Source organism: Homo sapiens, chromosome 9 (assembly GCF_000001405.40).
Source record: "Homo sapiens chromosome 9, GRCh38.p14 Primary Assembly".
Classification (NCBI taxonomy): domain Eukaryota; kingdom Metazoa; phylum Chordata; class Mammalia; order Primates; family Hominidae; genus Homo; species Homo sapiens.
In genome coordinates, this window is record NC_000009.12 from 64,064,200 (window position 1) to 64,083,993 (window position 19,794).

At 40.3% G+C, this 19,794-nt stretch overlaps 1 non-coding gene and 1 pseudogene across 1 annotated transcript; one reads left to right on the forward strand and one right to left on the reverse strand.

Annotated features, from left to right (window-relative positions):
• Positions 1–2,334: 2,334 nt before the first annotated feature.
• SOWAHCP4 (SOWAHC pseudogene 4) lies at positions 2,335–6,027 on the reverse strand (annotated as a pseudogene).
• A 12,202-nt stretch (positions 6,028–18,229) lies between these two features.
• LOC124902333 (U6 spliceosomal RNA) lies at positions 18,230–18,335 on the forward strand. The gene has a single exon (XR_007061909.1). It is a non-coding gene; the product is annotated as a U6 spliceosomal RNA (small nuclear RNA).
• Positions 18,336–19,794: the final 1,459 nt, after the last annotated feature.

Sequence of the window (19,794 nt, forward strand, 5' to 3'; positions counted from 1 at the left end):
TTTTCAAAGGGAATGCTTCCAGTTTTTGCCCATTCAGTATGATATTGGCTGTGGGTTTGTCATAGATAGCTCTTATTATTTTGAAATACGTCCCATCAATACCTAATTTAATGAGAGTTTTTAGCATGAAGGGTTGTTGAATTTTGTCAAAGGTCATTACTGATCTTTTTACTCTCTAATTTTGCCTCTCCCAGAATGTCGTATAATATCATGTAGTATGTATCCTTTTCAGACTGGCTTCTTTCACCCGGCAGTATACATTTAGGGTTCTTCTGTGTTTTTTCATGGCTTGATAGCTCACTTTTTAAATTGCTGAATAATATTCCATTTGTTTGCATGTATTGCAGTTTTTTTATCCATTCTTGAATTATCCATCTCTAATTGGGTTGTTTTGTCTTTTTATTACTGAATTGTAATTGTTCCTTATGTATGCCAGACACAAATCCCTTGTGTTCTTCAGGGTTGCAGGATACAAGATCAATATGCAAAAATCAATAGTATTTGACACACTTTAACTGAGTACTACATACTCACAATGAGCAATCAGAAAATGAAATTAAGAAAGCAACTTCATTTATCATAGCATCAACAAGAATAAAATACTAATAAATTTAAGAAGTGTAAAACTTGTACTCTGAAAACTATAGAATATTGTTGAAAGAAATGAAAGAAGATCTAAATAAATGTAAAAGTATCCCATGATCATGGACCGAAGGCTTAAGATTGTTAAGATGGCAGTCCTCCCTAAACTCGTCTACAGATTTAACTTCATTCCTGTCAGAATCCCAGATGAGTTCTCTGTAAAATCGACAAGCTGACTCTCAAACTCATATGGAATTGCAAAGGACTAAGAATAGCCAAAATACTCTTTTGAAAATGAGAACAAAGTAGGAGAACTCATACTTACTGACTTTAAAACTTACTACAAGACAATGGTAATCAGGACAATATAATACTGGCAGAAGGATAGATGTATAGACGAGTGGGATAGAATTGAGAGTCAGATATGAACCCATACATATATAAACACTGATTTTCGACAAGGGTGCCAAGATTATTCAGTGGGGAAAGATGTTTGAAAACTGGCACAGGGACAACTAGATATGTAAACATATGCAAAACCTGGAGTAGTACCTTTACCCAACACCATATTCAAAAACTATGGATGCAAAAACAATGGATCAAATGGACCCATTTTGAGCTAATCCACATAAACATAAGGACTAAAACTATAAAATCCTGAGAAGCAAACATAGGAGCAAATTATCATGACCTTGAATTTGGCAAAGTTTTCTTAAATATGAGACCATCAACAAGAATAAAAATTGATGAATTGGACTTCATCAAATTTAAACATTTTTGCACTTCAAAGGACACCATCAAGAAAGTGAAAAAACAACTCACAAGATGGAAGAAAATACTTGCAAATAGTGTGTAGCACTTTTTGATGGTAAACTTGAGGAAGACTTTTTTTGAAATTCCTTGATTGTTCTTTTCTATATCCTTGACACTGTCCTTTTACAGACCACATGATCTTATCTGGAATACTACAACAGTTTTCTTTTCTCAGTGCTTTTAGAATAACCTGTCAAAAACTCATCTGACTATAGTAGTACCTGCTTACAACCTTTTAATTGCTCCCCATTCCCTACCAGGCTGTGTAGCTCACTTGAGCTCTGCTAGGTGGTGAGGGAATCTGGGTCTTTTTTCTGGTATTTGAATTCAGTGCTACATAGGTTACTGGCTGGGTTGACAATCTCAGATTGTAAATCATGAGTATTCTATGTAGATAGTCTGTCACGATTTACAATAAAACATTGACATGTCAAAGGCCATTCCATCCTGGGCGACAGAGCGAGACTCCGTGCCCCCCCGCCAAAAAAAACAAAACAAAAAACAAACAAACAAAAAAGAAAACAACAAAAAAAACACTTTCCCCAGAATGCTAGCCTGATGGGAACTCCACCCCATCCATTCCAACCTAGTAAGGATAGTTTAGTTTGTCTTTTCTGGTCCCACTTCCTTACATCTAGTGTTCTTTTTTTGTTTCTGTTATTAAATTTCATAAGACAAACCTTAGCATTTTCTAAAAGAAATTATTTTTACCTAAATACATTGGACTTTGGTCTTAATTTGAAGGAATAGGATAAGTGGCCTTTAAGAGAGCGTTCCTACTCCTTCTCTTCCAGTGGCTGCTCTGGGTCCCTGAAAGAGGGTGTGATGTGAACCATCTGGGTTGTGAAGTGGATTTTGTTGAGCCTGTGTTTTTTAAGTCTATTAGTCCTGCCCGAGGCTGTGCGCCCTGGAATCCTTGGCTTCGCCTCTGAACCACCTTCAGCCAAGTGGTGATGGTGAAGAGGGTCCCCCCATCTTCCAGGACGTGTGAGAGTTTGTAGGTGATGAAATAGAGGGGGCACCTTTTAAATCTTTCAGTACCCACCCCCGCTGCTGGCGGTGCTCTCCCCGTCGTCCTCGTCCAGGACTCCCACCAGGGTCTCGATCTCTTCTATGATGCTCTGACTCACATACTGGGAGGCCCTTTTCCCAATGTAGTCCCTGATGTCCACATCGGCGTCCTAGGTCCTGACTAGCAGCTTCACCATCTCCAAGGTACATGGCTGCCAAGTGCAGGGCAGTGTAGCCCTGGCCTTGCTGTTCCCAGGCAGCGGAGGCTCATTGGGGAAGTTGACCAGCATGGCCAAAAGCTCCAGCCTGGGGTGCTAGGTGCCTGCGCAGGCAGGTGAGGCGGTAATGAAGCTCAGCGTGGCCAGCAGACCGGTTGGCACGGGGGCAACCCCCTAAGCTGTCCACTCCCCATCGGAGGCCGACAGCAGCCAGCCATGCTCCCTGGTCCAGCTCACCCAGCCCCGCAGCTCTCCTTCTCCTCGGACGGGAAAGCCAGCGCTGCGCCACCAGAGTCATTCGCCTCTGCCCTGTCCTCAGAGGAGGAGCTCCCAGGCTGCTGCCTCCAGGACACAGGTTCCTCTTCAGGGGTGGGGCGCTGCCCCTTCCCAAGTGGCTCAAGTTCTGGCGGAACGGCCTCGGGGCTGTAGCCCCCCCAGGAGCTGTCCCTGTCAGCCTCCTGGCAGCCGTGGGGCGGGGGTTCCAGGTCTTTTCTGGTCCCAGGTCCCACGTCTGGGGTAGGGGCTGGTGGAGCCGGTGAGCTCTTCTTACGTCCCCGCCGCTCAGGGCGGCCGGTGCAGGGCCTGGGCTCCCCCTCGCCCAGCTCGGCCCTGCCTGTGGAGCACCTCGGGGACCGCTGTTTCAGGGAGGGGATGGTGAATGCTGCGCTCCGCGTTCACGTGGACGCGGGACAGGTCCCAGGGGCGCGGCCTCAGGCAGAGGCCCCGCCAGAACCTCTTCCTGAGACGCAGGTACTGGGCGCCATCGGCGGGGTCGGTGCAGTGGCCACAGCGTTCACCTGGAGATACATTTTAAACAGTTTTATTCTCCTTTTTTTTTTTCCATTCCAGAAACCATTACTACTATGAAACAAAGTAAAAATATCTAGTTTAAATAATAATTTGATACGGTCAGATGGGGATGAGTGCACACGTGTGTGTACACACACACGCAGGCTCTAAATGGGATATTTTGGCGGAGCAGAGGGATAAGGCTTTTATTTCATTGATGTGTTGAGTTAGAATCGCCCTTCTCACAATTAAATAATTTAAATCAGGAGTTTTGTTAAGGCTAATTTGTACAACTAGGCAACATCTTTTCTCCATATATTTATACACATATACACAACTCTAATATTTGCATTTATTACTTCATCTAAAAGAGCTTGGAAAAAGGGTCCTAAGTCTTGGCTAGTTAAGGTAAAAATCTATATTTTAAAGTAATAAAAACATTTGCTATGGACAGAGACATGCAGACACTGTGGGTGAAGCTGATTGATGTTCCATTGAATGAAATGACATGGAGTTTTCTAAGGGAAAGCCTAGCACGCTGCAAGGAGAGGGGAGGTCCTGGGAGGGAATTGGAGTCAGCATTAGGATCTAAGTGTCACAGGGGAGTGTGTTCCCCAAAAAGACTGTGACTGTTTCTGTGTCCATCCTGAACTGGTTACCATGAGTGTACGTGTGTGTGTGTGTGTGTGTGTGTGTGTGAGAATTAAAAGAGGAGTTACATGCTGGGGCATTTCTGGTATCTCAACTCTCATCTCAGCTGCTGGTGTTGATGGCTATACATTTTCCTCAGTATTCAATGGTGCGTATTTTGAGTTAACAATCCACCCATTGGCTGAGGCAGGTGGATCATCTGAGGTGAAGTGTTTGAGACCAGCCTGGCCAATATGTGAAACTCTGTCTCTACTAAAAATACAAAAATTAGCAAGGCATGGTTGCAGCACCTGTAATCCCAGCTACTCAGGAGGCCAAGACAGGAGAATTGCTTGAATCTAGGAGGCAGAAGTTGCAGTGAGCTGAGATGGGCCACTGCACTCCAGCTTGGACAGCAGAGTGAGACTTGGTCTCAAAAAAAAAAAGTTATTGTGACATGCTGTACATATTCACAAATTCAGTGTTTCCCAGAAGTCTGAGATTCTTTTTTTTTTTTTTTTTTTGAGACGGAATTTCACTCTTGTTGCCCAGGCTGGAGTGCAATGGTGTGATCTCGGCTAACTACAACCCCCACTTCGTGGGTTCAAGTGATTCTCCTGCCTCAGCCCAAGTAGCTCCTGCCTCCCAAGTAGCTGGGATTACAGGCATGTGCCACCATGCCCAGCTAATTTTTTTTTATTTTTAGTAGAGTTGGGGTTTATCCACGTTGGTCAGGCTGGTCTCAAACTCCCGACTTCAGGTGATCCGCCCGCCTCGGCCTCTCGAAGTGCTGGGATTACAGCCATGAGCCACCATGCCCAGCCAGAAAGTTTTAAGACTATGATTATTAGACCATCATACACACAAAAAGTACTTAAAAAGTCTCAGGAATGCAGTCCCTCATTGGCCTGGTATGACAAAGATAAAAATAAGTTGGTCGTGAAAATTTCTGAATGTGGTTTAGGACCAGGAACCCCAGTAAGATTCAGAGACAACCTAGAAAATTGAAAGACAATTTTACTACCCAAATCACCCTTCTATAAAAAATAATAGAAGGTGTCAAATATGAAAATAAAACTGTCCTCTGGGCCCTCAATTTTCTGTGTTATTGGGAAGGCAGACAGCTACTCAGCAGTTATATCCCATAAGAATGGATAACACTAAAACAACTGACAGCATCAAGTGTTGGTTAGAAAGTGGAACTGATTCTCTCAAACATTTTCATTGTAGTTTAAGATGGCACAACCACTTAGGAAAATGTCTCCCCATTTCATACAATGCCAAATATATACTTATTTTGTAACCCAGAAAATCCACTCTTATGTACTTAAACTCAAGAAAAGTGAAAATATTATTACAGAAAAACGTGTATATCTGATTCATTCATAGCAGGTTTATTCATGATAGCCTCAAATCAGAAACTGCTTTTGTGTCTATCAATAGTGGAATGGATTAAAAACAAAACAAGCAAAGGCCTCAAACCTGTGGTATAGTCATAAAATTGAGTATTACAAAATAAAATTAATGAATAATCAATAGGAGCAAAATGATGTGTCACAAGCATGTTTAGTGAATGAACATAAAATTATATAATGTATAGTTTCACTTATGTAAATGGTGAAAACAGACAAAACTATCCTTTTGTGGAAAGAATCAAAACCATGGAAGCGTCTGTGTTCAAATACTGACTGGAAATGGGCATGAGAAAACGTGTTTCTGCCAGATCTTCTATATGCCTGATGTACATTCACTCGATGTATTTTGCATATACTATTTTTGCAAATAAAACTGAGATAGACGCAAAATAACTCAAGAGAAAATAGCTAGAAATAGCTAGAGTTGGGATAGAAGCCTTGGAAGCTCCCCCCTACCTTGCCCACATGGCACAGGCCAAGGAAGCCCTGGGACAATGCTGTGAGCAATCTGAGGGCCTTCCAGGGGAGCCCCGCCAGCCCATGCTGGTGCCCGAGCTGCCCGCGGCCATCTGAATATGTTGCAAAGACAGTGCTGGCCTGGCAACCGGTGACGCTCCACGCCCCACCCCGATCCCCACTTCTATCCAAGTAGCGGCAACCCTAGAGACAGATGCCTGGGCGGCAGAGGCTAAGTCTGGCAGTTGGCCAGGCTGCCAAAGGACGGGAACTGGCCGTTCACCCCATCCCAGTTTCCACGGAGAACTCAACCACCATGGCCCCTGAGTAGACCCTCAGGCCTGGTGGGCTGTGCTCTGTGCCTGCAAACCTGACGCCATCCAAGGGAGCTCCACTTTCCCGCGCCAGCACCTCAGCTGCTGCAGAAAACTGCAAAACTGCAAGTTGCACACAGGCAGAGATGACGAAGCAACCCCTGACCCTCCGTGCCACTCCCCCTACCCGCACACACAGCTGCCACGCGCACCCTGAGGCCGGTGCCTGGGCACCCAAGTCAGGCAGTCCGCACAGCAGTGGCACCAGGGTGAAAATCTGCTGCTCAATACCATCCCGGTTACCACGAAGAGCCAGCCCCGGCGGCCCCTGCGTTCTTGAAGGAGGCCAAGTCACAGCAACCCCTCAAGTGGGCGGGCGATGCACTTGACCCTGAGGACATCAGGTACCAGGCCCGCCAGCTCACACCATCATCGGAGCCGCAGCTGCAGTCTAGACGTGGTGCACCGGCAGTAAGTGACTGGACAGCCCAGACCAGGCCCACCCCCCAGCAGCGCGGATACTGAGGCCAGACCCCCAGGCAGTAAAATCAGGCGACGGGCCCCGCCAGCAGCCGCTCAGTTTCATCCGTGTGGATAGAGAGTGCCCAGCGCCAGGGCCCAGGATCCAGAGAGATGCCCAAGAGGAGCGGAACTTGAGGCCAGGTGGGCTGTGCGCTCTGCGACCCTGAGGCCATCCAAGGGAAGCTCCGCCATCCCACGCCAGTGCCAGATCTGCAGCTGCAAACCGCGCGTGGGGTACTGGCAGCAGTGAGGGCTGGTGGGGGAAGGAGCAGCCCCTGACTCTGCCTCCATGCCTCTCCAGCTACCTGACACTAGCCACACAGACTCCAGGGCCAGAGCCTCAGCGTGAAGCCGGGCCATCCGCGAAGCCACCCAGGTGGCCGCGGAGTGCTCTTGCCAGCACCCTATCTCCCTTCCGAGGAGGAGCGGGGCGGGCTGCAATGCCAGACAGGCCCTCCTTCTCAGGCCGGGCTGGCGGCGCTCCTGCGATCCTGGGGCCGCCCGGGCGATCCAAAGAGGACCGGCGAGCCCATCGGCGCCCGCCCAGAGCTGCAGCCCCACCTGCCAGCGCGCGCCGCCAGGGAGCGGCTTCCGGGAGCCGGGCAGCAACCGCCATGCAGGCGCGCGCCCAAGGCCTTTGCGAGGCTCACTCGGCCTGAGAGGTCGGAGGCTGCGAGTGTCGCTGCTGAAGGCTGTGGTGGACCGGGCCGGATCGCGGACTGTGGAGTAGATCACAGATTTGGGATCGCGGATTGGGGGTTGATCGCGGATTTGGGGTTGGATCAGGGATTTCGGGTTGGATAGGGGATTTGGGGCTGGGTCGGCCGGGTTCGGGGGAGGGGGTTGGTGAAAAGGTGACAGGGAGGTCGGCCGGGGTCGCGGGAGGGGGGTGGTGAAAAGGTGACAGGGAGCTGCCCCCGCTCAAGAGCCGGAGGTTGGGGGTCTGAGAAGTCACCACTGTGAAGTTATTCGGCTTTGGGAGCCGCAGGGGCCAGACGGCCCAGGGCTCCATAGAACATGTCTACACGGGTTCGGATACCGAATCCGGGACTCCGAACTGCAGAAGATCCACAGGGCAGCTGTCAAGGGCGACGCCGCGGGGGTGGAGCGCTGCCTGGCGCGCAGGAGTGGAGACCTAGACGCCCTGAACAAGCAGCACAGATAGCGGGGGCTCAGCCCAGGGTGGGAGGGGGTCCCCAGGCCCGGCTTCCCCGCAGCCCCTGGGACAGGGCCTTTCAGGGCTCCGGGCACCCTCAGAACGGCGGAGCCAAACGGACTCTCAGCTGTTTTCCATCCCTCATAATTCCCTGGCTGGAGCAGTTGGAGAATTTGAGTGATTTAACTCACAAAGTTAAGCATACACAGTGTTGTTATTTTTAACGTACACGTTGAAAACATGGTTTATATACATTATAGGAGGTGCCTAATGAGAGAACTCATTCCCCTATCAAAAATACCGTGAGTTATTTCAGTAGGCGAAAAGTTCTCAGATAAGAGAGCTTACTTGAAAAATATTTACTATATTATATATATATGTATTTTCAGATGAAAAGTATGTTTTCATTTTATAGGGAATTCATTATATTCTTTTTTTTTTTTTTTTTTTGAGTCAGAGTCTCGCTTCTTTGCCCAGGCTGGTGTCCAACGGCACAATCTTGGCTCACTTCAACCTCTGCCTGCCGGGTTCAAGCAATTCTCCTACCTCAGCCTCCCAAGTAGCTTGGATTACAGGCAGGTGCCAGCGTGCCTGGCTAATTTTTGTATATTTAGTAGAGAGGGGGTTTCACCACGTTGGCCAGGCTGGTCTCGAACTCCTGACCTCAAGTGATCTGCCCGCCTCCGCCTCCCAAAGTGCTGGGATTACAGGTGTGAGCCACCGCGCCCGGCCTATGTTGTTTATTATATATCATAAGTTTTATATATATATATATATATATATATATATATATATATATATATATATCTGATACATATACATATATACCAGATATAATATGTCATATATATCAGTTATATATACACATTAGATGAAAAGTACATTTTCATTTGACAGGGAATTCTTTCAAATCAAATCATCAAACACTCTAAAATTGGGCAAAGTACACTTTTCCAGATCTGCAAGTTACTTGTGTACATAGGAAAAAGTCCTTCGCATTTCTGGTATAAGAATTTAAATTAAAAGAGGAATGAAACAGTTTTCTATCCACAATATTTGTGAGGATGTTTTATACTCCTGCTTAAAGTTTAAGTTGCTGATTATTTTTCAAATAGATAATTTGGTGGTAAGTACTACAATTAAAAAATATGTATGCCCTTTACCCATCAATTCCATTATACTAAAACACCCTCAGGAAATAAAGATACATGCACTTTATTTTTCACCTCACTTATTTTAAAAAGAACCCAAAGAATGGATCCTATAAATAAATTTCAGTTGCATCAACAGGATGGAATAATATGTGACCATTGAAGGTGGCAATAGATACAGAAGTATATTGATGTGCGAAGAGGTATTTTGTTGTAGCTAGTGAGGAAAAAAATCAATTAATTTTAAGTAAAGTTCTTTTCCTTTTTCTTATCTGTGATTGCTGCAGTGAGCATGTACAAAACTTCTAGTAAAATTTATTAATAAAGGAATAATCCTTGGGAAGACAGGAATATGAATCTTACAATATTAAAAATAATTTCTTGCTTTCTATTTTTTATCATTATTGAGTGTATTGTTATCTTCTTTGAACTTTTAGCCTCTTCAGAAGTAAAAAGGGAATGTTTTTATCTGTTTCCAGATTTTATTATCTATATATTTTATTATGTACATATGTTTTTCTTATGTATTCATTCAATTTATGCAAACAATGATAGATTAATCATTTTATTTTAATTGTATTCTTTAAAAATAAAAATAACATTATAAATAATTACTATTGCAAAAATATTGCTTTATAGGAGTTTATTTAAAAATATTGAACTCCCCAACTGTATTTATCCATTCTTTCATTCTATTTATTCATCAAACATAACCTGAGTACCTGTTATGTAGCAGACATATTCTGCTATCTCTCAGGACCCTTCTATCCTTAAAAACTTCATGTTTACCTGCCCTGCCTGCAGAAGCTGAGAGATTTAAAATAGGAATATTGGGACTTAATCTCCTTGAAACTTTGTCTCCCAACTTTCAAACAAAAGCATTTCTGAAGTTAGAAAATAGTAGAAGATAAGCTTAAACTGCCCATTCAAAAGTTTATCAGTCTTAAATACTAATATTAATCATGGGAATGTCTTATTTGCATATATTCTGTAAGCATAAATATTGAATAAAATAAGCCATATGTATTCATTTGAATCATGAGTTTCCTTTGTCTTCAATTTGTTTGAAAATCAAGGAATTAATTTGTTTAAAAAATGCATTATTTCAGTGTTCTATCCCCATAGTACCTTTAAGAACTAAAATGTATTTACATGCCAGTTATATGCCTAGAACTGCCCTAGACCTGCTGCGTACACCATATTCTACTTAATGTAAGGTCTCATGGATTGTGAGATGCCCCGCTATTTTATATATCGATAAGATAATTTTTAAAATGCTACCAATTACAGTTATAATAATATAAGTGACATTCCAATGTCAGAAGTATTAAAATGTGACCTACTCTTTAAGCCATCCTGCAAAGTAGGTATAATTGTGTCTTTTACCTAATTAAAATGTTTTTTTAAGTAGTATTAATAGTAACAATTATAATATCTGGCTGGGTGCAGTGGCTCACACATGTAATCCCAGAACTTTGGGAGGCTGAGGTGAGAGGATTGCTTGGTGCCAGGAGATTGAGACCATCCTGGGCAACAAAGTGAGATTCTTACTCTACAAAAATTTTTAAATAAATAGCTGGGCATGCTGGTGCACATCTGTAGTCCCAGCTACTCAGGAGGCTGGGGAAGGAGGATCGCTTGAGCCCTGGGGTTCCAGGCTGCAGTGAGCTATAGTTACATCGTTGCACTCCAGCCTGGGCAAAAGAGTGAGACTTTGTCTCAAAAAACAAAAATCTTATAATTATTGAGTTATAGGAAGTATTCTAAATACATAACTTCTCATTTAAGCATCATGATGGTGTCCTATGAGATAGCTACTATTGTCATCTTTATTAATGAGGAAGTTGAAATACAGAAAGGCTAAGCAATAGTTGGTAAGTGACAGGGTTTAAAGTAGGACTCAAGCCCTAGTTGAACTGAATCCAAAGACTGAGCTCTTTCTATTCAAATAGGCTGCTGTTTTTATTAAGGCAGTGATCAATAAGAGCTAGTAAGTATTGTGCTTTCTTCAAAAAAATTAAGTATTTGTTTTGAAGGCAGAGGAAAAACATGCTATTCAATTTTTACAGTTACATGAATGATTGTATGTTTTGAGACGTTGCACTACAGTTTCCTAAAAAGTCCTCTTACTCTCATAGAACTGCTCTACATTTGGCCTGTGCCAGTGACCAGGTGAAAGTGGTCACTCTCCTGGTTAGCAGAAAATGCCAGATTGATATCTGTGACAAAGAAAATAGAACGCCTTTGATACAGGTATATTAGAGCCAACTCTTTTATCATGACATGGATTTGATTTGCATACATAGAATTAAAATAAATTGATCTCATTTAAATATAACTAGTTGGTGAAACCTGTGGAATGTTTATTTTGAATTTCTTAGAATTTACAATCTATTTCTTGGTCTAATACAGACAGGCTGTCCATTGCCAGGAAGAGGCTTGCACTGTTATTCTGCTGGAACATGGCACCAATCCAAACCTTAAGGATATCTACCGCAACACTGCTCTCCATTATGCTGTGTATAGTGAGAGCACCTCACTGGCAGAAAAACTGCATTTCCATGGTGCAAATATTGAAGCACTGGACAAGGTATAGATCAATCAACTTTCTTTCCAAAATATTTGTTTTAACATTGACACAGGTAAGGGTCAATTTTTTATATTTGGAAGCTCAACCATTCCCTGAATGCAAATGCAAATTATTTTGAAATAATTGTCTAAGATTTTATTTTAAATATTGATGCTTTTAAAGGTGCATTAAAGGGTACAGTTTTATAAAACGCACTTTGGAAAATACTTGTGAATTTGTTAAAGGTAAAACCTTTTCAACTTTTTTTCTACGCAGGGTTGTTCTTTCCTTTTTTTCCCCCCTAATTAGTACAAAACAACACAGGAAAGAAAATATGCCCTGGAAATAGGTTTTATTTTAAAACTCAAACAAAACTAAAGCAATTTACAATAAGTGGACATGTTGCTGCTGCTGATAATTTTCTAAAAAACTGATGTATCATCTCTCAGTGGCACAAGGCTTAAGAGGGAAAAATGGGAAGGGAAAAGGAGAGCAATCAGAAATTTGCAGGTCACTTGGAAATTAGGTAATGAGGGAAAATGTCAAGAAGAGTTTTTTTTTTTCTTCTCTTAGTTTGTTATTCTTCCAGTTTATGTGTTGAGACAAGGTGCTCCTTAGCTTTGGGTCTAATAATTTTTGGTTTGAAAATGAGAGTGAGTTGAAACTTGCCTAGAGATTAATTTTAAGAAGACTTTGAGGAAACCAGATTGGCAGTGAATAGGTGGTGATGAAGTGAGAAACACTTCAGCAGAAGGTGGAACAAATTATTAACTGACTTATTGCCCATCCTGGCAGAAACAGCCACTTAGATAAGAGTCTAAAGCCTCCTCTCAAACCTAGAATGTCTTGGTGGGAAGGTGGGAGATAAGGAGCTTATAAATAGCAAAATCAAGTTGGATTTTGAGTTTACTTGTCTGTGTTCTACCCATAGCCAGGAAATTTAACTGGAGCTTTAATAAATGACACTATCTCTTACTCTTTTCTCCTTTTGGTCACATGTCCAACTGATAAAGGGAATTAGCCATGCGGGTGAGAGATGAGACTGAAGTGATTGTCTGCTGCACTAATTCTCAGAATTGTGCATTACGGTGACCTGAGGACATTTTGTTAAAAATCTACAATTGTAGGCTTTCCCCTGAGGATTTTGATGTAATAGACCTAATAAGGACTGAACATTTTTAAAAACATTTTCTTGAAGGTGGGCACAGTGACATGTTCCTGTAGTCCCAGCTTGAACCTGAGTTTAAGTTCAGCTTGAGCAACATAGTGAGACTCTTGCCTCTAACAACAATAACAGCAAAAAAAAAAAAAAAAAAACCCTCAAGTTTCGGATACACTCCTGATTAAGAACCCCAGAATAGATAAGTGCAACATATAAATTTCTGTATCTCAAAAACGTAAGAAATGTCTAGAAGAATTGGTGTTTGATAGGTGCTACTTCATTCAAAGTTCTCCTTTTCAGTAATATTAGCCTGACTTATCTGTCTTTCTCTACATCTGTGACTGGGAAGTGAAAGGAAATATTACTGGCAATATCTCTCAGCTTACAGAATAACACCCTTTTCCTTCCCACCGTTAATCCTTCACTAACATTCAGGGAGTCTTTAGCAATTTGCTTATGGGTAATCTTTCAATAAGTAGAGGCTGACCCTTTCATGATTTCATGTCCCTTTGTCACCATGCACGTGATTATGTGTCAACAAATGTTCATTACAAGTTTGGCTTTCTCAATTAGAATAGTAGCAAATCCTAAACTATTTTTTTTAGTTGAAGTTGTATTATGAACTAGCTCAGTGTGTTTGTGAAGTTTATAGAGCTTTAGCATACCCAAAATGTCAGTTTTAAACACTGAAGTCCATGGAGTTAATAAAAATACAGATATGAATTCTTTTAATAATTTAGTTTTGGCAGTCCTATGAACCAGTTATCTATTTGGTTAACAATCTGGGAAAATTATATACAAATATATTTTAAATGAATAAATGTTGGAAAAATTCTTGAAGCAGGTATTATGAGTCTTTTGTAGCAATTTTTATTATATATGAGAGCCTGATTTTTTGGTAAAACATGATACTAGAGAAAGAAAATATTTTACATGCAAATACTTGGATTATACACAACCATTTAGTAACACATTAATGGCGAATATAAAAACACAAGGGCTATATTCTAATGTGGTACACAGATTTGTTTGTTTGCCTCTATAAGTTGAATCAACATGTAAAATTTAGAAGACTGGTGTAGAAATCTGGACTTCAGGCTTATTCTAAAAAATCAAATCTGCTGTCCCCTGAGTTTCTATCACTATTTGGTCTGCTGTGCAGAGGTTGCCCCTTTAGAGAATGCATGTATTCTCCAGTTTGCTACTGTGCCCACCTTAGTACTTCCTTTACTCAGGCAACCTTCCTTTGTCCTTGTAAGTATCTGAGTTTACAACTCCTATGTTATAGTATATTTTGATAGAGATTTCAAGGTTTTTAAGTCAGCACGTATTTGTTATAATATATAGTCTATATAGTATATAAATCCCTCAGTTATGGAGTTTAATTTTAGAATTTAGAAGTTTTGAAACTCTTTTCTTTATATATACCACAAATAATTATCTGCCCATAAGAATGCCTAGAAGCCTTTTTAGGTTATTCCTGGTTATAGTTGGATAATTTATGAATATTGCAGACATTACATCTTTCTCCTCAGGGCTCTTCCTTAGAAATGCCAGTGACTTACTGGCTTTTGTTATGCCGGAAATAATTCATATGGATCAGTATGAGAACTTTTATTGATAAGCCATTATGTTTTTATTTCTGATTTATATTTTCTCTAAAATAAAAAATAATTTTAAGTAGCCCTTTAAGTGGAAGCCAATAAAAATGGATTTAAAAAGTAGAGCTGCCCTGAGGTCCTGGGATTACCATTATAATTGAGAATGGTATTTCTTACTGAGCTTTGGTTTTTTAAATATTTGTTCTTAAGTTTTTTAAACCTATTTCTCTTACACAGAACATACTGAGCTTTCTAACAGTAAAGATAAAAATCTGTTCTCTTGTATTAGGGAAAAAACCCATGGACTATTTAATAATAAGGAAAATAAGTGCATTTGAAGCCAATCTCTCCTAATTCAGAGTTCATTTCCATAGTGACCCATTTGGAGCAGGAGTGCTTGACATTGGCATCTGTGATCCTGACAGCATTGATAGAAGTGAATCAAGCAAGTTTGTACCACCCAGAAGAAACCTCCACCTGCATTGGGAAACTCTGGCAACTGTACCCCTAAACCTCTTAATTCCTCAAATGTTAATGTTTGCCACAAATAATATTGTCAAATGGAGATTAGGTAAAATTCAATAGATTTCTTGATTATTGGACATAACATACAGTTTTATAATACTTCTCAAATGCAGATGGTCATGGAGTCTTTCTCTTGGGGTATAATACTTCTGGTAAAGCAAATATTCTTTGGAATATAGTTTAAGAAACACTGCTTTAGTGAGAATAATTTAGATCATTAATTTATGTAAAAAAACTTAAAATGTTTGCTACTATGTCTTCGGGTTTTGGGGCTATAGAGACAAAAGATACAGCCCTTGCCTCAAGAAGCTCTTGGTTTCAGTGGGAAACAGTGAAATTATTACAATGTACCATGCTAAGTACTGTGATCAAAGCAAGGATTCTTGGGACTGGTAAACCTTTAAAGTGAGTTTTGGCAATGACCACAGTTAATCCGGGGAGACGGAGGAGGATTGTTGCAAGGCAAAGCGCAGCACATCAGAAAGCACAGAGGAGTGAGAAGGAAGCGGCTGCTTTTCATTTACTTCCTTTCTATATTGTATGTTGAAGTTCAAATCATCCCAGAGAAGATTTTCTGTTCAGTTGAGAAATATGTAATTTTGTGAATTATTAATTTTTTTGTGCTGTTTCATGGGACAATAATATCCCACTTTTATTCACCATAATTTGCAAGAAAGAGAAAATGGTGGAATTTTTATTGAAAACCAAAGCAAGTACACATGCTGTGGATAGGCTGAGATGGTACAGTCGTTCTTTTTTTAAAAATAAAACCTGAGTATTCTAGAGTGGTAACAGTCACTCAAGTCAGAAATATTAATAAGAAGATTAACATAATTATTGGCATATAATGAAAAATATCACCACGAATAATCAGGTAGACCAGCAAATATTTGGACTGAGTAACATAAAGAATAGTATATAGTAGGATTCATCTTCTCTTATAATATAGAGTGTTTGGTATTTATGATCAGATGTTTTTGGTACTGTAATCTTTTATTAGCTAAAGGGTTTTGTATTAGTTTTATTATTTTTTTTTTTGAGATGGAGTCTTGCTCTGTTGCCAGGCTGGAGTGCAGTGGTGTAATCTTGGCTCACTGCATCCTCCACCTCCCAGGTTCAAGCGACTCTCCTGCCTCAGCCTCCCTAGTAGCTGGGACTACAGGTGCACGTCACCATGCCCAGTTAATTTTTGTATTTTTAGTAGAGATGGGATTTCACCATGTTGGCCAGGATTGTCTCGATCTCTTGACCTCGTGATCTGCTCTCCTTGGCTTCCCAAAGTGCTGGGATTACAGGCATGAGCCACTGCACCTGACCAGTTTTATTAATTTTTAAAGTGTGGACTTTTCATTTATGACTACTAGTATTGTCATTATTATTATTGTCATTGTTGTTGTTGTTGTTTTCAGCCTGCAGATAACTCTTATCTGACCCCTAGCTGATTGGACTGGGAAAGGAATGGGGAAATCTTCATCTAAGTCTTTGCCTACTTTACATAAGTGACCTCAGCACAGTTTCTTGGCCATCAAAGGACTATAAGTTAGCAACTTGTATTATGTCTTACCTCAGTGGGACAAGAGGCTTCCCTGTTGTCCCTTTCTTTTAGCCTTGGTGACAATTTTCAAAGATGAACACTTGAGCACCCTAGATGCTTATAGACCCAAGCTAGTACATGCAAATGGTTATTACATCTATACTGACAGGAGGATACTAAACTGGTAAAGTGTATCAAACTAGCTTTTGATATTAAAGTTCTTGAGTGGGGTTATTTCTTTGTTATTTTAGGTCAGCCCTCATGATTGCTATACACTATGACTCACCAGGTATTGTCAATATCCTTCTTAAGCAAAATATTGATGTCTTCACTAAAGACGTGTGGACGAGATGCAGAAGATTACACTATTTCTCATCATTTGACAAAGTAAGTGTTTATGTTAAAAGGCCAGTTGATACTAAATTGAAGTTTAAAATAATTGCAACTACTCCATCTTACACATTAGGTGAGAGTTCATAGTTTGGTTCAGATAGTTTGAAATAGCCATGAGTTAGTCTCCCTTTTAGCCAGAAATCAAGCAGAAGTCTAGATTAGTTAGAAGTAGAGTGCAAGATTTTTTCTGGATTTTTGAGACCTTTATCCCTAGGGATCTCAATGTTGTTCATTTTATTCTAAGTATAATCCCCATGCATTGGATAAAAAGAGCCACATCTTTGATTTCTTTTCCTTTCCTTTCTTTTTTTTTTTTTTTTTTTTTTTTTTTTTTAGAGACAAGGTCTCACTCTGTTGTCATGGCTGGTCTTGAACTCCTGAGCTCAAGTAATCCCCCTGGCTCGGCCTCTGAAAGTGCTAGCCACCATGCCTGGTCTAACTTTTCTAATTAGTTATTGAGTCTTGTAATGTCCAATTTAGCAGAAAATCTTGTATTTTCCCCTGGGGCTCTCTCCTGTGTCTTCCTTCTTTGAATTTTCCAAGAAGCTAAGGGGTTTCCTAAGTCCAAGGAAGGCAATCTTTCTTTGCAAGTCAGAAGAAAGGGAAAAAAAAAGGGGCATTCTAATCATTCTGTTGTTTCCATGGCATCACTTGCTGTATTATTGCCATTGTAACCGGACCTGCAATCTGATAATGATTGACCTTTGTCACCAGGATGCCTTCACTGATTCAGACCTCTCAGTTTTCATGGTGATTCATATATACAGGTCAAAGCTACGGTGTTTATTAGTTTATGTACTTGTGCTCAGTTATTTTTCCCAGCACCCTGCTCTGGTAGCTAGGCCTCCTAGCTTTATCCACACAAATATTGAGCAAATTGATGCTCATCCTACACTAAAAACCTTATTTGGAGTCCACCTCTTAGCTAGACTTTGCCTAGGCCTTCATGGGATGTTATCCTTTGAGAGCCATGCTTGTCTTTCCTTTAACCAATATTAGTTGGGATTGTTCTCAATAGTCAGGGATGTTCAAATAATGCTGCAGGAAGAGATCAGAGTTCCCTTTTCCTTTTGCTATCAGATCTGTACCTTGAGGCTTTTTTATATCCTGTGCAGCAGCTTTGGTTAGATAGCAGAATGTTCCATGTTATCTTTCCACTGAGTAGTGGGAACCAGCTTGCAGTTGGTGCCTCAAGTAATGTGTCTCTATAATCATGAAAATCTCCTGGGCTACTTGCAGCTCTTCCTCAAGTTTTCAATATATTTTAAAATTCTACCTCACAGGAAGCCATTCAATAAAATTCTCTGAATCTGAAGTAAGTGAGTTGGATTTAACAGAGCTAAGCCTCATCCATGACTCATGAGTATCCATGTATCAAACAGGGCTTTGTAATTATTTTAACAGCACATATTTTAAATTGGATCAATACAGAGCAGATAAGCATGGCTACTGCCTAGGGATGGCACACAAATTCAGAAAGCATTCCATATTTTGCATAGTCCCAGGAGGGCCATTTGACTATTTGTTGAGTAGCTCCAAGGAAGCAGTGTGAGGAAAACCAAAACAGGTGACATGCAATATTGAAATTGTGATTATCACTGTGAAACTATTGATGTACGGTGATCTCTGAAATGGGAACAGAGCTGAGTAATAAGGGGATGTTACATGTTGTTAGTACATGTCTTGGAAATGAGAAAATGTCAACTTGCATTTCCTTCATGGAACTGAAAAACAATCAAAACAGGGTTTTGTCTTGTCTGTTAGTTGGAGAGGACCATGGAGATCCAGCAGCCAAGCACAAATCTGCTGGCTCAGAGTTTGAGGAGGTAGAGAAGGAGTGGTAGTTGTCCAAGCCAGGTTTTGACACCTATTAGTTTTCTGCCCTTGGTGTGATTGATGAGTTCAATGATGAGCTCATTAAATTTATATATATATATATATATATATATATATATATATATATATATATATATATATATATAAATTTAGTAATAAGTTATGAAATAGGTAAAATGCCCTGAATTACAAGCCACAATGAATGCAAGTAATAACCAAAATTAGCACTTAATAACATTTTCTGAAAACTGCAACATTTGAATATTAGAACTTATAGAAAAACACACACGGAGCACTATTTGGGATTCCAAAATTATTTCAGCAATAAGGTTCAAGAATAAATTATTCCATTGCTTTACTATTTCTCTGAACATTTAAACATGTAATCTCATTAGATCTTCTAAACAACCTAGTGAAGTAAGGTAGCAGAATCCTTATTTTTTAGAAGAAACCATGGAGCCTAAGAGAAACAACTTGTCTGAAAACAAATTACCTACAGAGCGAGGTATTTTGGTTACAGAGTGAGGACTTACTCTGAGTGCAGGACAGTTTGCATGATATCCAGCTAACTAGAGTTAATTTACTGAGCTGTGCTTCCTCCATTTATGAGTACTTCACTTTCTTTTCTTCTTTAATTATAAGCTTAATAAGCTTGTAAGGTTTAAAAATTTGAAGTGTATGGGACATTAAAATTCTGATATTAGGTCTGATATTGCCTGAAATGGTTTTGGAATTTAATATGTTTGGTAAATATTTTTTATTTCAGTATTAAAATAGCAATTTTATTTATTACTTTTGTATATGTAGAATTCAACAACAAATTTTGGAACGTAAAAAGAAGATACTTAAAAAGGAGAAACGAGGTAAGGCTTCTGAGAGTGAATTTCTTAATTCTCTTGGTGGTCCTACTCTTGATAAGAAAATAAGAAGTAAGACATAAGATTAAGGTAGTGTCAGTCAAAAAAGACCAGTTTAAAAATATGTGTAAATTGAATGTGTATATATGTATATACGTATGTAAATTAATTTTTTAAATTTAACTTCTTTAGTTTGAAATTCAGATTTATTTAAGAAGGTAGTTGTAGCTAATTTATAATCTCAAACATTATGGTCTACA